Consider the following 25,288-nt stretch of genomic DNA (forward strand, 5'->3'; position numbering starts at 1 on the left):
CCCATCAATGATAGACTGGATAAAGAAAATGTGGCACATATATACTATGCAGTCATAAAAAAGAATGAGTTCATGTTCTTTGCAGGAACATGGATGAAGCTATAAACCATCATTCTCAGCAAACTAACACAGGAACAGAAAACTAAACACTGCATGTTCTTGCTCATAAGTGGGAGTTGAACAATGACAACACATGGACACGGGGACGGGGATATCTCACACCAGGGCCTGTCAGGGTGTGAGGGGCAAGAGGAGGGAGAGCATTAGGACAAATACCTAATGCAGGTGGGGCTTAAAACCTAGATGACAAATTGATGGGTGCAGCAAACCACCATGGCACGTGAATACTTATGTAACAAACCTGCACGTTCTGTACATGTATCCCAGAACTTAAAGTATAATAATACAAAAAGAAAGAAAGAATATCATTAAAATTAATAAAAGAAATTATTCTCCTGGAAAAAGCTGGATTCTATACACACAGAACAAATACTAAAAATGCATAAATGTAAATTGTATGAAGCAAAATTGTATCTCTTTACACAGTATACTAAGAAATCCAAGAAATGGCCAGAAAATTATTAGTAATGATATGAGAGTCTGATGTCACATTAATCAAGATAAATACAAAGATTACTTTTCTCTACACTTGTTAAAATTAATTAAAAAAATGTAAAAATCACACTTACAATGACAACAAAACATTATAGGTACCTAGGAGTAAATATAACAAGAACTAATATGAAGAAGTCTGTAAACTTTTCAGAAAGCACCAATTGTAAAGTCTTGTGAAAGCACCAATATGAAGACCTAAACCAATGAAGACTCATACAACATTTCTGGGTGAAGTGACTTCAGTAATAACAATAATGTCAAATATCTCCAAATAGTTAACTCATTTTCAGCCAGAATGCTATTTTTTTAGAGGGGAGTCAGGTAAAATTAAAGTTCATGTGGTGGAACATATTCCAAAAGAGCCAAGAAAACAAAGAACAAAGAGCAGAATGAGACATGCTTAATAGATACTCAAACTTTCTATATACCCTGTATAATCAAAGCAGTATGATATGACGTTTTTATCCTAATTGCCTCACTTTACAAAATTGTAATATTACCAATATACTGTATATCTGCTTGTGTATTTTATTGTCTATATATCTGCTTATGTACTTTATACATAAGCTGATAAGCAACTTCAGCAAAGTCTTAGGATACTGAACATCTGTGATTTATACCTGAAAAGAATAAATCGCAATAAATCATTGGATTTCTTGATCCACCCAGAACTCGTTTTTGACCCTTGGAGGGCAATGTGGCCCCTGTTGAGAATGCATGATTTAGGGGAAAAAGAATAATTGATTCTACAAATGCTACTGATATAATTTGATATCTGTCAAGAAGGAAAAAAAGTGAAACCTCTGTTCACACCATAAACAAAATGGATTAAATATTTAATTGAAGAGAAATAGAAAATAAAAATTATAAAAGAGAAAAAAATTAAGTGACTATAAATATGTGTACCATAGTAGTCAAGGAGACCATTTATTTATTTATTTATTTATTTATTTTATTTTATTTTTTCAACTTTATTTTAGATTCAGCAAGTACATGTGGAGGTTTGTTACCTGTGAGTATTGTATAATGCTGAGGTTTGGAATATGAATGATCCTGTCACTCAGGTAGTGAGCATAGTAGCCAACAGGTAGATTTTCAACCCTCATCCTCCTCTCTTCTTCCCCTCTCTTCTTGTCTCCAGTATCTATTGTTCCCATCTTTATGTTCATGTGTACCCAATGTTTAGCTCCCACTTGTGAGAACAAGCTGTATTTGGTTTTGTTTCTGTGTTAATTAGCATAGGATAATGGCCTCCAGCTGCATCTGTGTGGCTGCAAAGGACATTTCATTCTTGTTAATGGCTGGGTAGTATTCCATGGTATATATGTACCACATTTCTTTATCCAGTCCACTACTGATGGGCACCTAAGTTGATTCCGTGTCTTTGCTATTGTGAATAGCACTGCGATGAACATATGAACGCACGTGTCTTTTTGGTAGAATAATTTTTCTTTGAGTGTTATATATATATATGTAATGGGATTGCTGGGCCAAATGGTAGTTCTTTTAGTTATTTGAGAAATATCCAAACTGCTTTCCACAGTGGCTGAACTAACTTACATTCTCATTAATCATGTATATGCATTCCAAAGAGACCCTTTAGAAAGCCCAGAAGTTTCCGAGGATAAGGCAGACATATTTGACTAGATGAAATATATTTTTGTATAGTAAAATGTACCTTCATTTAATCTACTTCATGTCAGTTAACAAATCTTTGATGAGCATCTACTATGTGCGAGGCACTTTTCTAAGCATGGAGATTCAGCAGTGAACAAAGTCCCTTAGAGTTTACATTCTTGTGGGGCAGAAAGTCAATAAACAAAAATAAATATATGATGTCAGGTGATAAATGCTAGTAATAAAGATACATCAGGGCAAAGAGATAGAGAATGGGGGGTACTGTTTTACTTAGGGTAGTCAAATTTAAGCATATTTCTTAAAATAATTGAGTAGTGCATATGTTTGAGGGGGAGTGTTCAGGCTGATTCTGAAGCAAGAACATGCTTGGCAGGCATGAGGAGAAATGAGGAGGCCAGTGTGGCTGCATCAATGGAAGGGAGATGGAGAGTGGGTGATGAGGCTAGAGGAGAAGCCAGAAGCTAGATACTGTAAGGCCTTCAAGGCCAGGATAAGAACTTTCATGAAGCTGGGCCTGGTGGCTCAGCCTAATCCCAGCACTTTGGGAGGCTGAGGCGGGAGGTTTGCTTGAGCCCAGGAGTTTGAGACCAGCCTGGGCAACATAAGACCTCATCTCTAGCAAACCTAAAAAATAAAAAATTAGTTGGGCATGGTGGCGTGCATTTGTAGTCCCAACTACTCAGGAGGCCAAATGGAAGGATTGCTTGAGCCTGGGAGGTTGAGGTTGCAGTGAGCTGTGATCATGCCAGTGCACTCCAGCCTGGGCAACAGCTCGAGACCCTATCTCAAACTAACAAACAAGGAACAAAAAAACAACTTTGCAATTTTTACGCTGATGGGGGTTGGTCTTTGGAGAGTTTTGAGTAGAGAAGTGACTTCATCTGATTTATATTTTGAAAGCACGATTCCGTTGGGAGTGGGGAGTGGGATTGGGAAGCTCAGTTTGGAAGCAGGCACAGCAATGCAGGTGAGGTATGGCGATGGTTTGGACTTCTTGATGAAGGAGATGAGTAGTAATCAGATTCAAGATATAATTTTAGGGTACAGGTTGATGAATTGGATGTAGAGAAAGAATGAGTAGATTGGGAAAACATTTTCAACACAAATGGCAGATAAAAACTTAATATGCAAAAACACATAAAACTGAGTAAGACAAAGGGCAAACCACCAGTTTGAAAAGCAATTAAATCACAGGAGAGAAAATTCAAAATACGATTAAACTTATGAAAAAATGTTCAGTCTCACTAGTAGTCAGGAAAATACAATTAAAGAAACAGTTAGATACCACTTTTCTCAATAGACAAAGATTAAAAATAGCTACCGCTTCCAGCACCAGTGCAAGTATGGGGAAGATAGGACTCTCATATCTTCCTGTAGGAATATGAATTATTACAAATTTGGGGAAAAGGAATTAGGTAATATCTATTAACATTAAAATACACATTTCTTTTGATCTGGCAGTTCTACTTCTGGAAATCTATCCTAGAGAAATAAAATCCTGATCATATATAGAGATGTGTATTGCAGTATCATTTGGCAATGGCAGAATCATTTAGCCAAAGGCAAAAGGTTGGAAACAAGCTAAATGTCTATCTTTAAGGAAATGGTTGAATAAGCAGTAATTCATTCACACTACTGGATGCTGTGCTATTAAAATGTTAGATTGATGTGTTGCCCATGATGTATTGTTAGGCGAAGAAGACAAGTTGCAGAATTATGTATATAGTTTGACCCTATTTTTAGAAAAAAATTCCTACATATACTCATATTTGCATATATTTTTATATAAACATGGATTAAGATGTGGAGAGATTCATAGAAACTTAACACTGTGAGTTTTTAATTTTTGAAGAGAGAAACTTAATAAAGATTTGAATAGAAAATTTATTGAGACCTAGCTTACAACGTGTATAATCTGTAGTGTGGCATCTCAGGTTTGACTTCCCGGTCTTGGCAAGTGCTCAAGCTTCTGGATGATGATAGATAAGAGTGTCTTTATTCCTGAAACACTAAGATTACAGGCTTGTATTTCTTCAAAACCACAATTGGAACTTCTCAAGTAGAGTGTAGGAACACTAGTTGTTTTTTTCCTATTCCTGATTGTTTTTAAGGGGGAGAGTAAAGGAATCTCATCAAATATAAAACTGAATATTTTGATCAATTTTTCAGCTTATTCTTTTATTCCTTTGGATCCTGTTTTTTCCTTCTATATCTTGTCCCCTTTCTCGGTTCCCTGTATTCACTTCCTTGATATGTCAGTTATAACCTAGGGTGAGAGATATTTAGGGGAAAATGGGAAATTGCATTTTTTTATTTTTATTTTTTGAGACAGAGTCTCACTCTGTCGCCCAGGCTGGAGTGCAGTGGCACGATCTCGGCTCACTGTAACCTCTGCCTCCCGGGTTCAAGCAATTCTCCTGCCTCAGCCTCCTGAGTAGCTGGGACTACAGGTGTGCACCACCACGCCTGGCTAATTTTTGTATTTTTAGTAGAGACGGGTTTCCCCATGTTGGCCAGGCTGGTCTTGAACTTCTGATCTCATGATCTACCCTCCTCGGCCTCCCAAAGTGCTGGAATTACAGACATGAGCCCCACACCCAGCCAGGAAATTGCATTTTTAATGCACTACTAACTCAGGGAGTCTTTAATTGGGATAGGAGCCGCATTAACTGATTTTACATAAATTGTTTGTTTCCTAATATTTTGTGTTTCTCATTCAGCTTCATTATCTCTAAACTCACCTTTCTGCTTTTCTTTCCTATGTTCTGCTCCTAAATGAAAAATGACTAATTGAATTGACTTCTATTCCATTCTTGTGAACAGGACATTTGACATTTGTATTAGTTTATTTGCAAAACAAAATTTACTATTGATTTCTTAAGGTAAGTTTCACATTCCTACTTTTATATTGCCACTATCTTAGAAGTATATATTTATGTATTTTCTTAAAATTTTCATCATTTTGTTAAACATGGTGTCATTTTGATAGCTTGTCCTTTCTCCCTTGTTTGTTTGGGGTCCTTTAAGATTTCCACATGTGTATCTTTACAGGAGGGTTAACAATTGCTTTAAATTTGTCAGTTTTTCAGTGGCCTTTAGAAAATGGTCCACAGAATTTTTATAGTTGGGGTATTCTATTGTATGATTTACTTGCCTTCAAAGACCTAGTGGGAGTGCAAATGTTTTGACCCCAAGTTAGAAGTTATGGAGAAGATACAGGGAGGTTTCTATAGATCTATCTCTTCTGAATTCTTGCTTCAGTGGGACATACACACAGATATGGAGTCAGCTGAGCTGGGTTGCTGAAGCCTATCTACTGTTTTTTAGTAATTGCCTTGACAAGGTCCCTGCTTCTTACCAGAAATCTGAGAGAAGTTGAATTAGTCATACCCTTCTAAAACCTAGTAGTGGCTGGGCACAGTGGCTCACGCCTGTAATCCCAGCACTTTGGGAGGCTGAGGCGGTGGATCACCTGAGGTCAGGAGTTTGAGACCAGCCTGGACAACATGGTGAAACCCCATCTCTACTAAAAATACACTAATTAGCTGGGCTTGGTGGTGCACTCCTGTAATCCCAGCTACTTAGGAGGCTGAGGCATGAGAATCGCTTGAACCCAGGAGGAGGAGGTTGCAGTGAGCCAAGATCATGCCACTGCACTCCAGCCTGGGTGAAGAGTGAGGAAAAACAAACAAGCAAACAAACAACCTACTAGTTAGCTGTCACATGGACCAGAGGGGCTATAGGAAAAATGACATGAGAATGATGAAAATCTAATACTTTTAACTATGTGAAAATCTTTCTGGTCAAAAATGTTCCCTGATAACAGCATAATGTATGTAAAAGACATGCCAACAAAGGCTGGTAAAATCTCTAAATGTGTATTTTCCACAGATGACAAAAGCAACTTACAATATTAAAATCCATGTTTAATATCTGTCTTCTTCTCTCTCACTCTCTCTCTCTCTGGCAACTCAGTTTTGCTAAACCTGTGCAGCTCATCAAAGACCTGAGGATTCTGTGACTTCTAAAATTAACATAGGCTTCCATACCTGCGGCAGGGCTGTGAGAACACAGTAGACAGCCATACAGTGGATTAGATTGTGCTAGAAGTTATGGAGATACTCTTTTAAGGTTGTGATTGGGTAGCCTGAAACATTTATGAAACATTTTATACTTTGGGCAGAGACTAATGTCTGGTTTCTCTCCTTTTTTCATCAAACGCCTCCAAAGAATAGCATATCAGTATGAAAAGCTTCCTTGGAAGACATCTAGTTAGTCCAAAGAATTTGATAACTAGAATTATAGACTCTCAGGAAGTCTATTTGGAAGGGACCATAAAGATAACTTATTCCAATTACTCAGCTGTTTCCTGAGTCTCCTCTATGGCATTCTCACTGAATGAGCCTTAAACTCTTGCTTAAACTCTTTGGACCTCCACTTCTCCTTATTACTAAGATAAAATTTGTTACTTTGTACCTTCCATTCACTGATCTCATTTCTTTGGGGCTATACAAAATATTCTAATCCCTTATGAACTTTCACTATTTGAAAGTAATTCTCATTGTTTCCTCATATTTGTCTTCCCAGGGGAATTCTGCAACTTCCTGCACACTTGAGTCTTTCTCTCCTGAAGGCATTTAGTTTATCCACATCCCATGATTGAACTAAATGTATATTCAGGGTGTGGGCTAACCAGCACAGTATTGAACAGTATAAAAATAAAATTTCTAAAAATGATTATTTTAAAATAGACTAAAATAAGTTAACTCTGTTGGATGTTTGAAAGGCACATCCCACAACTACTTACTTGTATCTCTATATTCTTCCTGCTTACCTTCCTTCTCCTAGCTTCCTTTCTTTGGAAAGTGCTCTTTAGAAGTTCATTAGTCAGCTCCAAATAGCAACTACAGTGTTCTTTCAGTCCTTATTTTCCTTGAAGTCTCAGTCATTTTTTTCTCAAAACTCTCATCTTCCTTAATTATTGGAACATTCCACTATACAGGTTTTCCTTCTATCTTCCTATCCCTTAGTTAAATTTCTTCAATATATTACATATAACAAACTCAGTCCTTGGACTTCTGCTTTCGTTGGTCCTGTACTTCCTCCTTTGAAGAACTCACTCTTATTGCTTCAATTGTTACCTGTACTCATCTAATTCCAGATATCTCTTGAATGACAAATGTTATTGCTTATCCCCTTAAAACAATTTGTTGTTCCCTCCCTGTCCCCCAAATTAGTTCCTAGTTTGTTTGTTACCTAGTTTCAAAAGTTTTGAAACCATTGTTTTTTTCACTTTTCCTTACTCCTATGCAGTCAGTCATCATGAAGTAATGATTCTTCTTTGATTTTTTTCCTATTTATTCTCTTTCCATTACTTACTCCAAGTACTTCTTAATTAGATTTACTATCTATGATGTTTCTTTTTCTATCTTATTTTTCACAATCACATGATACAACCTTATTTTTAAAATGATACAACCTTATTCATTTCACTCTGTGTCTCAAACATTGTAGAATGCTTCCAGCTGCCTGAAGAGTAAAATATAAATTCCTGGCTTGTTTTTCAAATCCTTTTATATTCTCCTTTTCAAAATTATACCCCAGGATGCCTCCCATGAATCTTCCGTAACAGCAAAATTGCCTACTGCACCTGGAGCATGGCACGACAGCCTTTAACCCTTTACCTTTCTTTTACTCTTTGTAATTCACTCAGCATATCAACACCTTATCCATCTGCTGTGACATATTGTATACCACTACTCCCTTCCCCATGAAGTTACCACCTCTACTTTCTCATCCCATGATGGATTATGTTGTCCATCTAAACTTTTTGTAACTTAGATTTTACTTAAAAAATTGCCATGTATACATATATCACTATATATGTTATAAGCTACTTGATTGCAGGAGCTTTGACTTGTGTTTTTCTGTACACCCCTTATTGCTAGACCAGTGCCTTGCAAACATTAGGCTTGCCATGAGGAGTTACTGGTTGATTGGTTGGAAAGGCTATCATAGACATACTTGTCAAAGGAAATTACTATATATTTCTTTAATTAAAATGTTTTACTTCAGAAAGTATCCAGTCTTTCTTGACGGAATCATATACGTCTTAACTTATAAAACAAATATTTGGAAACTGAGGTTTGTGGCTGAGAGATTAAAAAGGGTGAAACTTCTGAAGAGCAGAAACTGTGATATGAAGATGAAAGGGATTTTATAATTGTAATCTGTTTAGGCAATGGCTGGGATATGGTTTGTATCTGGAGTATGGGAATCATAATAATCACTTGTCTTATGGGCCTTTAAAAAATTTATCCTTACTCTTCCACTTTTTTGTTGTACTTCCTTCCTGTATTTGCCTTCGCCCTTTTCGAGCCTTTTGATTTTTCACCATTGATTTCTGATTCTCTCTTTCCTTTAACTTTGTCCTTTCCTTTGTCACCTTTTGTGTTTTTGTCACCTTTTTCTTTTTTATTTGGATCTTTCTCTGCATCTCTCTCCTTTTCTTTATCATTATTTCCTTTATCCTCAAAACTCTCCTTCTTTTCTTGGGCTTCCTGTCCTTTTAGTACACCTGACTCACTCTTCTTTACTTGGGATTCCAGTGTTTCTGGTACACTCACCTCAGTGTTCTTTACTTGGGATTCTGGTCCTTTCAGTACACCTGCCTCACTCTTCTTTTCTTGGACCTCTTGTTCCTTTGGCACATCTGCCTCAGTCTTCTCTACTTGGCCTTCTTGTCCTTTTGGTACCTTCAACTCACTCTTCTCTACCTGGGCTTCCTGTCCTTTCAGTACAACTGACTCCCTCTTCTTTACCTGGGCTTCCTGTCCCTTTGAGACACCAGACTGACTCTTCTTTACTTGGGATTCCTGTCTTCTTGGCACACCCATCTCACTCTTCTCTACCTGGGCTTCCTGTCCTTTCAGTACAACCAACCCACTCTTCGTTACTTGGGCTTCTTGTCCTTTTGGGACACCTGACTCACTCTTCTTTACTTGGGACTCCTGTCCTCTTGGTACATCTGACACACTTTTCTTTATTTGGGCTCCCTGTCCTTGTGGTATACTCATCTCACTGATTTTTAGTTGGGTTTCCTGTCTTTTTGGTATTCCAGCGTCACTGTCTACCTTGACCTCCATTCCTATTTTGTCTTTCTCTAAATCAGTGCCTTTTCCTTCTCTTTCTGGCTCCTTTATGTGTGCTGATTTCAAGGATTCTACAGAATTCGTAAATATGATGTCATTCTTTAGTGCTTCCTTGTTTTCTTCTCGGCTATTCTGAGACCTTGCAGTGCCTCCACATTTTAGAATCTGGATTTTGGAACAAGATTTTTTTGCAAGTTCTTCATCCATGTAACCTGTTAATATAACTGAGCATACAACAAAAGGGCGTGATTTAGATATCAAGTATTTTCTCTTTATTTCTATTTTTTTCCCCTTGATACTGGTTCCTTTTTTGTCTTAAAACTGACAAACTAAAATTTTTCTGAATCTCAAGTTATCTAAAATGATGGTTCTCTGTACATAAAATTATAAAAGTATCGATAAAATTCTGGACTATTTTCAATAATTTGGAAGATTAATGAGAGAAAAGGTAAAATGTACTGTAAATGAACTGACATTTGTTCAGTGGATTATGGCTAATGAATAATGCTTAGTGGCTAACAGAGGATGTATTCTGAAAAGAAATAGAATTTGTTTTAAGGAAAAATTGTGGGAGGAAGCAATAATTATATTTCTCAAGACAGAAAAAGGAAACTCAAAAATGCTTTCCATATTGAATAAAAGCATATCTTATTATGCAAAAGTAATAACAGTACTAGCTGATAATTATTAAGTGCTTACCACATACCAAGTACTCACTGCTCTAAGCACTTTATGTATTAAATCATTTGATACTCACAACAACCAGGTAGGGTATTATTAACCTCATTTTACAGATGAAGAAACTGAGGCACAGAATACTTAAATGAATATGAATAAGGTTATGTAATCAGTAGGTGGTGGAGCTGGGATTTGAATCTGAGTAGTCAGACTCCAGTGTTCAGTTTTGATCATTACTGTAGACTACTTCTTGCAATATCTGCAAACTCTGCAAAAATTTCAGGTCCTTTGATCATGTTCAGGTAAATCAGCTGTTACGTCTCAATTCCTGTGTGATTTAACAAACCTGAATTTATTGGCTTCTGCTAGGTATTTTTTATTTGCTTTTGTTTTTTTTAAGTAATATGGTTCCCTGAATTAAGTAAAAGAAATATCTGAGCCACCAAGGAATTGTGTGGGTTCTTGCCGTGGAGCAGAGGGATGTCTTGCTTTGAGAAAATCTAATATTTAATATTTACTATAGTAGAAAGAATACTGAATATAAAAGCTGAATCAGAAGACTTGGGCTGGGGGCAGTGGCTCACACTTGTAATCCCAGCACCTTGGGAGGCCAAAGTGGGCGGATCACTTGAGGTTGGGAGTTGGAGACCAGCCTGGCCAACATGGTGAAACCTGATCTCTACTAAAAATACAAAAATTAGCCAGGCATGGTGGCACACACCTGTAACCCCAGCTACTCATGAGGCTGAGGCAGGAGAATCGCTTGAACCCGGGAGGCAGGGGTTGCAGTGGGCTGGGATTGCACCACTGCACTCCAGTCTAGGTGACAGAGTGATACTCCATCTCACACACACACACACAAAAAAAAAAAAAAAAAAAAAGAAGACCTAGGTTTATTATTCCTGCTAGCTGGGTTTAATGGGTTTATTAAGGTAAATCAGTTAATCCTCAAAGATTCACTGTTTTTATATTTAGTTTGATCTGCTCACTTTGTAGAGTTACTAAATATTGTAGACAAATGTTAAAGTAACATAGCCTTTGGAGACAGACTGGTTCAAATCCTGCCTCCGCACCTGCCTAGCTGGGTGACCTTTGGCAAACTTTACTTTCTGTCTGTAAAATGGGGGCAATAGTAGTAGCTACCTCAAAGAGGTGTTATGAGATTAAATAATGTTATCTAAATAAAAGCACTTGGTACAGTGCATGGGACATAAGTAGTCAATAAATATTGGCCATTACTACTTCCCAATGAGATAGTACAGGAAAAAACTCTCTAATTCAATCAAGACAAGGCATTCTTAGTTTCCAACAAATAATTTACAGGAGTGGTTAATTGTATTACAGGAAAATTTCTTTTTTTTTTTTTTTTTTTGAGATGGAGTTTCGCTCTTGTTGCCCAGGCTGGAGTGCAATGGCACGATCTCGGCTCACCGCAACCTTTGCCTCCCGAGTTCAAGGGATTCTCCTGCCTCAGCCTCCCAAGTAGCTGGGATTACAGGCATGTGCCACCACACCCGGCTAATTTTGTATTTTTAGTAGAGATGGGGTTTCTCCATGTTGGTCAGGCTGGTCTTGAACTCCTGACCTCAGGTGATCCACCTGCCTCGGCCTCCCAAAGTGCTGGGATTACAGGCGTGAGCCACCACACCCAGCCAATTACAGGAAAATTTCTTGCTTAAAAGTGAATTATTGGACTTTTCGTTTTTTACATTTAGGGTTTGATGTTTGAAAAATTGGCATACACATAACTTCAGAATTTTATCAATTATAAAAATGAGGCACACCTGTATTAGATAAGAAACTAATTATAAATCAAAAGAGTTGTTGTAGTTCAGTGTTTTCTTTTATTATTTTCAGCTGTTGACATCCAAATAAAAATAACATTAGGAAAATTACAGTAATGTTTTCTGAACCTTTTTGTATATGTCCCCACCTAGAGTTCTTCATTAAAATATGGTTACTGACATTTTATTCTAGACAATCAATTTTCAGTTTCCTAATGAAAATCAGTGGTAATATATTTCAAGCATTGCTAAATTGAGAAAAATAGTTCAGAATATTTTGATCTTCGACAGTGCTACCAGTGGACACTGTTTTGTTTTGTTTTGTTTAGGGGTATGGTGGTGTGGAATGGTAAGATCATGCTCCGCTGAAGTTTCTAACCTTAAGAATTTCATGGAATGTACTCCTCACATAAGCTGATTTTCCTTAAGCTATGAATATTTTTAGTTTTACTATCCCTTGGGGGTAATTATTTGCTACTGTGTGTAATACTTCATGACTCATTTTAACCTAAATTTACCTTCTAAATTATATAGGCTTTGTAAACCAAAATTAAGTATTATAGGATTTCCTGAAGCACCCAGTGTTTATTCTAGCTACACCTTTCCTAATTTCACAGAATTAAAAAACTTTTTATTCTTTCTCCCACTACACTGAAAAATACCTCTAGTTACTTCTAATAGAATCTTCATACCCTTATTTTAATATATTTGCTGTCATCTTTTAAATCTTGAATTTAATTAACATAGATTAGATTTACAGGATTTATTTTTGAGTAATCTAGCTATCCCATAAAGTGAGGTTCACTTTTATTTCAACTTTGCATTGCAGAAGTAAGCCACAAATCATTATTCCACCACATTCTAAGTTCTTTTCTTCCTTCTCCCAGATTTCAAGATAGTTCATACATCTTTTCCTTCTCTTGGACCTCATAATCATCTAACACATACAGTGTAAATCTTCATAATATAAAGACTTGGAAGCCCTGGCTGCAAGTACATTTATTGCAGGCAGTAGCCCATACTACAAAATTTTAATACAATCAAAAGATTTAATCAAGACTTTGGGGATCATCATAATATATTCAAGCTGAATAAAAAGTAATTATTAAAATTTTTAAATTGGATTAATTTTTGTTAAAGCTAAAAGATATCATGAAATAGCTATCACATTAACAATTCTATCTAAATGATACTTAACATAGAAAATAGAATGTGGGCTTTATTAGGAAACTAATCTTAGGTTCTTAATCCAGTGGTTGTCAGGGAGAGCACAATTGGATCTAGACTGTAAAAGATCTATTCAGTATCAGAGGGATAAATCATTATAGTTCTCAGGCTATGAATTACATTTTAAAAGATCATATACTTATTAGTTGAATGAGGAGGTGAGAAATAAGAGACTCAGTTTGCTGGGATGATGATGTTTGTTGGTTTAATCTATCTTAAACCTTTCTTTGAACATTGACTTAAACCTTAACCTCCTTTTTCTAAAAATATCAACTGGGGCCGATGCAGTGGCTCACACCTGTAATCCTAGCACTTTGGGAGGCTGAGATGGGAGGATCGCTTGAGGCCAGGAGTTCGAGGCCAGCCTGGGCAACATAGTGAGACCCCATCTCTATTTTTTAAAAAAAATAGAAAAACAATCAATTGGGAAAAATGTGTTTGAAAGAGTATATCAATAAGAATATGTCTTTTACAAAAAATTTTTTAAAAGATTAAACAGATTTTTCTCTGGCAACTTAAAAAATTAGTATTCATTAAAAATTTATTACCTCTGGGAAGAGACTTGGCCTGTGATCCCTTCTCAGAGCCCTTGTATTAGTCAGGGTTCTTCTGAGTCAAGTTGACATACAACATCAATCATCAGAGCCCACCTTTTTTTTTTGTAAGAGAAACTCACAAGATCACAGTCCTATCACTTTTTCTATGTGAGGAGAGCATTTGAGGGATGTTGGCGCATTATAATTTTTCTGAATGCATACTGTTTCTTGTACCATGAATCAAAAGAAATTAATTTCCCCGGCTGGGTGCAGTGGCTCACGCCTGTAATCCCAGCACTTTGGGATGCTGAAGTGGGCAGATCACCTGAGGTCAGGAGTTCGAGACCAGCCTGACCAACATAGTGAAACCCTGTCTCTATTAAAAATACAAAATTAGCTGGGCATGGTGGCACATGCCTGTAATCCCAGCTACTTGGGAGGCTGAGGCAGGAGAATCACTTGAACCCGTGAGGCAGAGGTTGCAGTGAGGCAAGATTGTGCCATTGCACTCCAGCTTGGGCGACAAGAACGAAACTTTGTCCAAAAAAAAAAAAATTAATTAATTGCCCCTTTCAACTTCATCTCCCTGCCTTCCTTTCCCTCCAAACCCACTCTCTTTCTAGTGTGAACTGAGAAAGAAGAATGAGGCTTAAACACGATTAAATATAAGGACATATTTTGTGTTTGTGTCAGTGTTTGGAATGTTTGAAATGCTTGAAACGTGTCTCACTAGGTTTAAGTCTTATTTGCTTCTTTTGATCATATGTTTACAGAATTAAACAAAAGTTATTATTCTACTTTGTTTTGTATGGTTTCCTTGCTTGAAGAGCTGAGTCATATATTAAGTAATCCCAATAGAGATAAATCTGAATCCAGAAAACAGTTAAAAAAGTCAAACATTGATTTAAATGCGGTCTTCTATTTTTAAAAGGATCCTTTTGTGTACATTTAGTTATCCAGCTTTTCTGTAGATGTATATTTGTATTTGCAAACATTCCATAAAGTTTCCTGACTAATCACAAAAAATGCATTTGTGATTCAGTATAGGAGGCAATGTGTTAGTATGGGAAGAGTGGGAAGAGTGTGTATTTTGGAGATAGGACATCCTGGGTTTAAATCCTGACACCAATGTTTACCAACTCTTTAACCTTGGGTAAATACCTGAGTTAGTTTCCTAATCTGTAAAATGGGGAATAATAATACCTACCAGGCAGGCATATGGTAAGAATAAGAGATGTTACTTTTGTAAGTGCCTAGCACAGTGCACAAATACATAGTCAATGCTCAATACCTACTGTCTTTCAAAGGTAGTTATTTAGAAGGCAATAGAAAGGAGATGGTATTTTGTTTTTAACTAGTTTTTTTCCCCCATTAATATGATTCAGAGGGACTTCACCTATAACTAAAAAAAAGTTCTAAATTCCCAGCAAATAACTAATGGAATTCAGAAACCAATCTTCCTTTCATTATGTTTTCCTGAGAATCAGGGAGGAGATTCTTTTTCAGAGCCTAGAAGATGGCCAGAGATTGTGGCACCCTTTCATATGAGCTTCATCTTCTCTACAGCAATCTCTTAAATTGTAGTTATTTAAAAACTTGGGGCCTGGCACAGTTGCTCACACCTGCAATCCCAGCACTTTGGGAGGCTGAGGCAGGAGGATCACTTGAGCCCAGGAATTCAAGACCAACCTGGGCAACATAGTGAGATCCTGTCTCAAAAAGAAAAGTGGAGGGCGGGGGGGAACCTTGGAAGTTTCTGGAAGATAGGAACATTCAAATTGGCCTTAGAAGCACAGGCCTCTATTTTGGGAGTAGAAACAGACAGGTCACAAAAGAATTAAAAGCAATGTAAAATATCAGAGTTGAGAATAGATATGGAACTTACCCACAGGAGTCAGTGCTAAAAACAAAACACAAAAGAAAGATCAGTGAGGATTTTCTAACTCAAGAGAAACCCACCTTCCAATAGTATCCTTCCTAGGTGAACTTAGAAACAGGACTTGGAGGGAGCACAAAACTCTGTTTCATCCTCAGGAGTGTTGCTGGCCAATGCTCCATATCGCACTCCACACAGAGGGTTATCTTTAGGATGCCATTTAATTAATATAGGCATTTGAAATCTTGGGTAGGTAAAATCACTTCTACTGAAATTCAAACTATTGTATTTCCTGCCTTTCTTTGTTCTTTGATAAGTCTTTCATATGTCTTCTGCAAAACAGTTTTTTGCTCACTGTTCTGGTCCGTTTGAAAAATGTATATTGTTGATCAATTACCAAAATCACATCTAGTCCTGACACATATTCTTTTTGTCAATCTTAGAGGATTTTCTTTTTTAGTAAAAATTATTAGTTGCCAGATTATAGCACAGAGGAAATAGGCTCTGTTGTGATAGATTAGCTGGGAATATATGCTACCAATAATCTTTGGTAGTAAATAACTAGAATCAAACACAAGACCATTATACTTTGTTACAAAAGGAAAATAGATAAGAAGAATTAAAATTGAAATATGAGGAAATCACTTATTGAAGAAATATTGACTGCTGTAAGGTAGAGGAACTCGTAACACAAGAACATTTGGGAAAAAGAACTTAAAGGTCCTAGGCACAGAAATAGGTAAGGCAAGGAAATGATCCAAACTTACTGATTTTTCCAGAACTGTCCACTGAAAGAGATAAAGGCAAACACATCAGTAGGTACTGGGCATTCCCTTCTTCCCAGTCCCCAAACCTCTGCATTGAGTGGGATCTGTGTCATTAACAACTAAATTTCATTTATTTAAATGTGAAGAAACTTCATTTCCCTTCCCCCTTCTCTTTGCCCAGTGTAGTTTACAAAGACCTTGTGATAAGCTACTTTAAATCACCTTTACTTATCATTGATCATTATCAATTTTGTCTAGAATGTCAAGATTACAATTTATAAAATATAGGACATATAATGGTCTTGCTTAGAAGATGTGTGCTAACATTATTTTTTGACATTGATACGAATTTTTTTTTAATATATTTTTTTGAGACAGGGTCTCAGTCTCCCAGGCTGCAGTGCAGTGGCATGAACATGGCTCACTGCAGCTTCCACTTCCGGGGTTCAAGCGATCCTCCAGTTTCAGCCTCCTGAGTAGCTGGGACTACAGGTGCGTGCTACCACACCCAGCTAATTTTTGTATTTTTTTGTAGAGACGGAGTTTCATCACGTTGCCCAGGCTGGTCTGGAACCCTGAGCTCCAGCGATCCACCTGCTTTGGCTTCTCAAAGTGCTGGGATTACAGGTGTAAGCCACCATGCCTGGCCTGGTACGAAATATTTAAGATACAGTTGTTACCAAGTACTGAAATATAGGTATATCTCTTGTGTTGATGTTACTTGATAAACCTAACATAGAAAGCACAAAATAGGCTGGCGCCGTGGCTCATGCCTGTAATCCCAGCACTTTGGAAGGCTGTGAGGCAGGCGGATGGCTTGAGCCTAGGAGTTCAAGACCAGCCTGGGCAACATAATGAGATCCCCATCTCTGCAAAAAAAAAAAGAAAAAATTAGCTGGGTAGGGTGGCAAGCACCTGTAGTCCCAGCTGCTCAGAAAGCTGAGGTGGGAGGATTGCTTAGGAAGTCAAGGCTGCAGTGGGCCATGATCACACCAGTGCACTCTAGCCTGGGTGAGTGAAACGCTGTTTTAAAAAAAAAAAAAAAGCACAGAATAATAAGAAAGCATGAAACTGTAAGAAACATATACCAGGATTGTTTACCAGAGATACATATGTGGAGTTAGGGTATTTAAAAATGGGAGTTGGCAAAATACAGCCCATGGAATAAATCTAGTTTTTCCATATAAATCTAGTTTTCCAAATAAAAATAGCATCTAGGACATGCTATTTTTGCATGTCCTGTGAGGTAAGAATGGATTTTACATATTTAAATAGTTGAAATCATCATCATAATAATAATAATAATAATAATAATATTTTGTGGCACATGAAAATTGTATGAAATTCAAATTTCAATGTCTAAAATAGTATTTTATTGGGACATACCCATGCTCATTCTTTTATATATTGTCTATGACTGTTTTTGTGCTACAACAGCAGGGTTGAGTAGTTGTGACAGAGACTTTAAGGCTTATAAAATTTAAAATATTTGGCTGGGCATGGTGGCTTATACCTGTAATCCCAGCACTTTAGGAGGCTAAGGCAAGGGGATCGTTTGAGGCCAGGACTTTGAGACCAGCCTAGGCAACATAGCAAGACTCAGTTTCTACAAAAAATAAAAAAAAGTTAGCCAAGCATGGTGGCACACATCTGTAGTCCCAGCTACTCAGGAGGCTGAGGCAGGAGAATTGCTTGAGCCCAGGAGTGGAGGTTGTAGTGAACTATGATCACACCACTGCACTCCAGGCTAGGTGACAGAGCAAGACCCTGTCTCAGAACAAAACAAAACCAAAAACACCAAACAAACCAAAAAACACAAAAACCCAGCAAACAAAAACAAACATAAAACATTAAAAACATTTGTAGAAAAAATTTGCTCACCCCAGCCCTACAAGAAACTAATGTAATAAAAATATATTAGGAACTTACTAGTGTGAACTTGAGGTATTCCTGAAAATCAAAACAAGAAAATAGGTTAATGGCAGCATTTTTGGAACAGAAGTACAGTTCTTTCCTACTCCCAATTCCCTAGTTGTTTTTTCTAGGGTACCATAAAGACTTCTAGCAGAATACAATGAAATATGATGAGACAACAGATCCCTTAGTGTGTTATAAGAACCTGACAGTTTTTACCACCTTTATGTGGTCCAACTTATTGTTGTCTCTCTAATTGAGCTCTCTGCTTTCACCCTTGCCTCCCAGTCAGTTCCCAGTACAGCAGTTAGCGGGACCCTTTTAAAGTGTCAGCAAGACTCCTGCTTAAGAGCCACCAATGGTTCCCCATCTTGGTTTAACAAAAGTCAAAATCACAACAGTGGCTTTCAAAGATGGCCCTGGAAGATCTGTCCCTCCAAATCTCTCTTATAGCTTCTTTTTATGTCACTTTTCATTCTGTTCCAGCTATATGGTACTTGCTATCTTGCTTTTCCTCAAATAGTCTGGAAATGTTCCTACCCTAGGGTGGTTTACTTGTTGTCTTCTCTGATTGAAATATTCCCCCCTCAGATATTGCCTGGCTAATTCTCTCACCTATTTCATGTTCCATCTAGTAGTTATAGCAATTGCTGAGAATGAGGCATTAAACTTTCCAACTGTAGTTGTGGGTTTTTCTGTTTCTCTTCAGTTCTAGTACGTGTTTTTTTTTTTCCCAGTGTGTTTTGAAGCACTGTTGTTTGGTTCATACATATGTAGAATTTCTTTGTCTTCTTGATGCATTGATATTTTTATCATGATATAATGTCCCTCTTTTGTCCCTGGTAAATTTCTTTGCATTTAGGTCCACTTTACGTGATATTAATGTAGCCACATCTGCCTTTTTTTTTGAAAAAATTAATGTTTCATGGCATATATTTTTCATTCTTTTTACTTTTATTGTTAAATTTGAGGTGACTTTCTTGTAGATAGGATATAGTTAGGTCATGTTTTTAATGTACTCTGGTAATCTTTTGAAAAAATTGGTGTATTTAGACCTACACAAAATAAATTTCTGTGATTTGCCTGATTGTTATGAGAGGCAAGTCCCAATTCTTTCAAGGAGGGGAAGTCAGAAAAGGCTTAATCTCTGCAGCACTAGTGGTCCAAGTTTAGATGTAATAAACTTTATGGAGGAAAAGGCAAAGATCAATCTTTCTTTTTTATCTTGAATTCTATTTTAGTGTTTTCTCTGTTTGCATTTTGCAGTCTGTCCCTTCTTCTACTCCCATTTGCTACATCTTCTAGTTTTTATTATTTCTACCTTTTATCTTTTGGAGTTTCATCTTGTGACCCTGTGGCTTCAGACTGTGATACAAACTTCTTAGTGTATTATTTCCATAGTCTTCCCAGCATATTTTCCCAGCATTATTTCCTCTGGCTTCTCTTTTGCAACTTAACTCTCTAACCAGAAGAACAAATTGATTTTGGTCCTTTCTATGTGGTTTCTTGTTTCTGTGGGCCTTTGACTTATTTAAAAGACAAAGACAGGAAGAAGAAAGAAAGAAAGGAAGGAAGAAGAAAGAACGAGCGAATGAACAAAAGAAAGAAAGAAAGAAAGACCCAAACTAAACCAAAATAGAAACCAAAAACAACAAAAGTGTCAGTGCAAATAAAGGAATCGAGATGCTACAAAAGACCAGAGGAAACTGAGAAAAACAGTAGGAGCTTACTGGTTGCTATTGGACCAATTGCTAAAAATAAAATAAAACAAATCAGTTTTTTTTTAAATTATGTATTGAGTTCCTATTGAAAATCCACTTGGAACACCAGAAAACAGACCTTTGGGAAACATTAAATCTTCTAGGAATATGCTATCTCTTATTAAGTCAATTTTAACTCCACTTTAATAACTTAAATATCCAGGCCATTTTGAATGGCACGTATGATGGGTTATATAAGTGAAGGCCACTTTTTCTAATGAAATAAAATATTTTTTTAAACATTCTTAAACTAGGTCACATTCTTTCAGGAGACTGGCTAATAGTTAAAGGTTACTAATTTATGTTCTCTCTTCATCGTCTTTTTTGTCTTTTCATGTTTTCTCTTCCTTTCAAATCTCTACCATTATACCAGCTCTCACTGTATTTTTTTTACAGTACAGAAAGTTTATTTGTAATTAAAATGTAGTTGAGTTTAGCACCTTTTCTTTTTCTTTTCAGTTTTTATGAGAATTTAAAACTCTTCAAGAGTTAGTAATACTTATTTTAAGTTTTGCTTCTTTTACTTTTTTTCCTATTTCAGTCTCTAATCTCAAAATATCTGTTCTCTTCTTCACCATTCATTGTATTCTCCTTCTAGATTTCCATTACTAAGTTTACTTACTCTTTGCCTTACTGTGGCAGGGCAGGTCTCGCTAACGCAGGCCTCCATAACAACTGTTTCAGCACTGACTGAGTGGTTAAGTTAAATGTTGAAAGCTGATAGAGCCAGGCTAGAATGTAACAAGCCCACCAAGAGTTTGCCTAGGCCTTTCCTGGGCCTTGAAGCATGACAAGATTACGAAGGAATTCTTAACAGGACCCGTTTAGGATTAAAACAAGTTTATTGGGGGGTCTGAAGAAACTCCCCAGGCCTTCACAAACAAGTTTATTGGGGGTCTTCTGAAGGAACTCCATATTTAGCAGGAGACAAGATAAGGGTAATCACTCCAGCACCTGGACCCATTTAGATTAAGTAAATTTACTGAAGCTCTAGAGGAAAGCCTTCAGGACTCACATCTTAGTCACAGATTAGAAGAAGTTAATGACTTATGTCTTTAGATGAATGCACACTTACACGTAGACATATAGCTTAGAAGGTATATTGGCTCTGGAAAACTTTGTAATTTTCAGTTGGTCTGGCAAAAATTTCCAGGCCTTCTCTCTGTACCTACTTATATAAATAAAAACTGTCTTCTTTCTCAGTTCATCTGCATCTCGTTATTGGGCCATGAAGAAAAGCAGCCCGATTCTCCTACCTCAGCCTCCCAAGTAGCTGGGATTACAGGTGTGTGCCACCACACCCAGCTAATTTTTGTATTTTTAGTAGAGATGGGGTTTTGCCATGTTGGCCAGGCTGGTCTCGAACTCCTGACCTCAGGCAATCCTCCTGCCTTGGCCTTCCAAAGTGCTGGGATTACAGGCATGAGCCACCACGCCTGGCCAGGTCATATGTTTTTTAAAGGTCTGTATTGTCAATAAAAACTGGAGGCAAATTGGAACTGAGAAACATTTTTCTTTTCTTTTTTAAGTTGCAGTGCTTGCAAGCAAGTCCTGTCTTCAGAAGAACTGGCTCACTTAATAAGAGACATAGCAGGAGTTTAAGGGGCATAATCTATAAAGTTGGTCAGTTTGCCAATTATTCTCATTGGTGGAAAAATAATTCTCCATCATAATTATATATTGGCAAGGGTCATAACACATTTGTATGACAGTGAAACAGCAAAATAACTAACATGAACTCTTTTTTTGTTTAAAGGACCTTCACCCATTCCTGCATGTAAGTTAGGACAATTTTAGAACACTAAGATAAAATGCAAAAACAGCAATCATGGAATTTTTGAAACTAACTGTACGACTAAGGGGGAATTATGTAAACAACTAATTATGTTTTGTTAAAGATTTACGGGAGCATTGTGACCTGACCAAGGACAAAGACGTTCCCAACCTCCTCTGACTCTTGCTGGCATCCAGATCTCTGTGTTCCTCAGTCATCTCTTGATTCTAACTCCTGCGCATAATTTCCCCATATCCCCCCTCCCATAGAAACCCTCCAGCCAGCCTGAAAGACATTAGAAGGGTGGTACTTTAGAATGCTGGTTCTCCATCTTCTCGGTTTGCTGACTCTCCAATATAATCTGCTTTTCATCCCACCAACCCTTGTCTCTCATGTCTGGCTTTTCAGCTGCAAGCAGCCAAACCTGGGTTTGGTTACTTACATTTATGTGTATCAATATTGTAAAAATCAGCACTAAAATTGTTTCCATTAGGAAGCCAGCAATGTAAAGCATATGAACTTAAGCCTTTATTTTAGGTTGCAGTGCTAAATGGAACTATTATTCAATTTAAGAACATATAAAGCAAGTTGTCTGTCCCTCCCTCCCTCCTTCTCTCCTTCCCTTCCTTCTGGTTTTCTTTCCTTCTTTTTTCACCTCCTGCCATCCTCAGTTTATCTCATGATACAAGGTTTTTCTGACTGTCATGTTTAATGTCAAGTGCTCAGGCAAAATAGATGATTTGGCTAGGCTAACAAAGTATTCATTTTGCAGTATTTCCATTTTTTTAGTGCATTTTCTTATGATTTTGAGGAAATTTTGCTTTCTCTCCACATTTCTATTTTGTTCCTTGTATTGTTAGTGCTTTTCCTTTTCTTTAATTTTGTTTCAAAATAATCAAAATTATTCTGTTATTTTTAAATACTTTTCATTTCATTAATTTTTGCCTAATAAAAGTAGGACATTTTTATTATTGTGTCCTACTCTTGAGATTTTTCCTTTTTTAATCATCTTGAGCTCATGTTTAGTTCATCAATTTTTATTAATGAATAATTTCTATTAAAACCATTTACCATAATAATTTCTCTCTAAATGATATTTTGGTTGTATCCTAAGTGTTTTGACAAGTAATGATTTTATACTCACTTATTTCTATATATTCTGTAATTTCTCTCACAATTTTGTTTGTAACCTGTGGATTATTTGGATGTATGCTTTTTTGTTTCTAAATATGTATATGTTAATATTTTTTGTTATTTATTTCTGTTTTGTTGCCTTGTGCTCAGAAAATGTGATTTATATTATGTTGAAGTGTACTTTGAAATTAGTTGAGGCTTGCTCTAGTTGAAGGAATTGGTGGTCAAGGTAATCTTTTCCATCTGTGCTTGCTTGGTGGAATGTTCAGTGTACATTACTAGATAAAGCTTTCTAAAATTATGTCAAAGCCTCTCTAGCCTTACTAATTTTTGTCTGTTTATTTTATGAGAGAAATATTATTAAAATATCTTTATTTAGTTACAGATGTCTTTGCTATTTTGTCAGTTTTTGTTTTATGTATTTCAAAGGCTATGCTATAAGCTCACAACTTTCACTTATATTTTATCTGATATTTGCACAATTATATCAAGTTTTGTTTTGTTGTTAATTGCCTGGTTTTTTTTTTTTTTGAGACAGAATTTCGCTCTTGTCACTTAGGCTGGAGTGCAATGGTGCAATCTCGGCTCACCGCAACCTCTGCCTCCTAGGTTCAAGTGACTCTCCAGCCTCAGCCTCTCAAGTAGCTGGGATGACAAGCATGTGCCACCATGCCTGGCTAATTTTGTATTTTTAGTAGAGACAGGGTTTCACCATGTTGGCCAGGTGGGTCTCGAACTCCTGACCTCAAGTGATCTACCCGCTTTGGCCTCCCAAAGCGCTGGAATTACAGGCATGAGCCACCGCACCTGGCCAATTGCCTGGTATGTTTTAAAATTCCTTCATTTAAATTTTTCTGTGTGTCACCTTATTTTAGGTATATTTCTTAATAGAGTTTAGCTATTTTTCTTATTTTTTTATAGGAAAATAGAAAAATTAAAAAAATTTAATTCTTTTAATTACATCTGAGAGTTTCTAGCTTTTAATCTGTGAGTTTAATCTACTATTGTATAATATTGTGCTAAGCAACATATTTAGACTTTTTTAACCCTCATTTAAAAAAATTTGCTTTTTCACGCCTGTAATCCCAGCACTTTGGGAGGCCGAGGCGGGCGGATCACGAGGTCAGGAGATCGAGACCATCCCGGCTAAAACGGTGAAACCCCGTCTCTACTAAAAATACAAAAAATTAGCCGGGCGTAGTGGCGGGCGCCTGTAGTCCCAGCTACTTGGGAGGCTGAGGCAGGAGAATGGCGTGAACCCGGGAGGCGGAGCTTGCAGTGAGCCGAGATCCCGCCACTGCACTCCAGCCTGTGCGACAGAGCGAGACTCCGTCTCAAAAAAAAAAAAAAAAAAATTTTGCTTTTTATTTGCTTTCTCTTTTTCTTTTTTCTTGCTTTCTTGTGGACTAATATAGTTTTCTTTCTTCTTTTTATTTTCCCTATGGGTTCAGAAGATGTATGTCACATTTCTATTATATTAATAGTTGTCTTTTATTTTTGCCATAAATATTCAAATGTATATATTTAATAAGATGAAAAGTTAATCAGTACATCTGACCTTTTGTCAAATTATCTTAGTTCATAATCATTAGCCTTGTCTCTAAGGTTTTTTTCCCTAATGCTTTAGGTCTACTCATTTTAAAGCACACTAATATATTTCTCCTTCACTCTCTCCTTCTCCTTCTTTTCTTCCTGCTTTTTTTTTTTTTTTTTTGACAGGGTCTTGCTCCTAGGCTGGAGTGCGGTGGCATGATCACGGCTTACTGCTGCTTTGACCTCCCAGGCTCGAGCAATCCTCCCACCTCAGCCTACTGAGTAGCTGTGACTACAGGCATGCACCACCACACTCACCTGATGTTTGTATTTTTTGTAGAGACAGGATTTCACCATGGTGCCCAGCCTGGTCTCCAACTCCTGAGCTCAAGCAATCCACCTGCCCTGGCCTCCCAAAGTGCAGGGCTTATAGGTGTGAACCACTGTGCTCAGCCTCTTTCTGCTTTTCCTTCTCCTTCTTCTCTTCCTTCTCTTTTTTTTCTTTATAGTCAACATTTTAGATTTACTGTCATGTTTTGTTGATTTGTTTTCTTACATATGTTTCTTGGTTCTAACTTCTTTTTGAGTTTTTACTCAAAAGTAAACTCCCTGAAGTATGTCCCTTTGATAATTCTTTCACTGGGGACCTGTGTTTAATGAGTTTCTATGTTCTTGAATATACAAAATGACTTCATTTCAGTCTCACTCATAAATGATAATTTTGCTGATTGTATCTTATGGGTTTATAGTAATTTTCCTTCAGTCTTTTGATGATATTGTTCTGTTGTATTCTTTTTAAAATTTTTTTATTTTTAATTTTTATGGGTATATAGTAGGTGCAAGTAGGTACATGAAATATTTTGGTACACTCATACAATGTGTAATAATGTGTAGTAATCAC

General features: G+C 36.9%; 1 protein-coding gene and 1 long non-coding RNA gene across 8 annotated transcripts in view, besides 1 other annotated feature; one reads left to right on the forward strand and one right to left on the reverse strand.

Moving 5' to 3' along the window:
• Window positions 1-25,288, forward strand: part of TSBP1-AS1 (TSBP1 and BTNL2 antisense RNA 1) — a 152,558-nt gene that overhangs the window by 29,235 nt on the left and 98,035 nt on the right. The gene's annotated exons all lie outside the window — the stretch shown is intronic.
• Window positions 7,231-7,431: a silencer, noted in NCBI's record as "peak5754 fragment used in MPRA reporter construct". NCBI's record gives its function as "represses an SCP1 promoter by STARR-seq MPRAs in K562 erythroleukemia cells {active_cell/tissue: K562}" and the evidence as "EXISTENCE:reporter gene assay evidence [ECO:0000049][PMID:32103011]".
• Window positions 8,291-25,288, reverse strand: part of TSBP1 (testis expressed basic protein 1) — a 79,206-nt gene continuing 62,208 nt past the window's right edge. For all 5 annotated transcript variants that reach the window (NM_001286475.2, NM_001286474.2, NM_006781.5 and 2 more), the window contains 4 exons: window positions 18,202-18,222; window positions 16,273-16,293; window positions 15,515-15,529; window positions 8,291-9,628 (listed from right to left, as the gene is read on the reverse strand). In NM_001286475.2, coding sequence (NP_001273404.1) covers window positions 8,574-9,628; window positions 15,515-15,529; window positions 16,273-16,293; window positions 18,202-18,222 — 1,112 coding nt within the window. In that variant the 3' untranslated portion in view covers window positions 8,291-8,573. The remainder of the gene's footprint in view (window positions 9,629-15,514; window positions 15,530-16,272; window positions 16,294-18,201; window positions 18,223-25,288) is intronic.

Source organism: Homo sapiens, chromosome 6, assembly GCF_000001405.40.
Source record: "Homo sapiens chromosome 6, GRCh38.p14 Primary Assembly".
NCBI classification, from domain to species: Eukaryota; Metazoa; Chordata; class Mammalia; order Primates; family Hominidae; genus Homo; species Homo sapiens.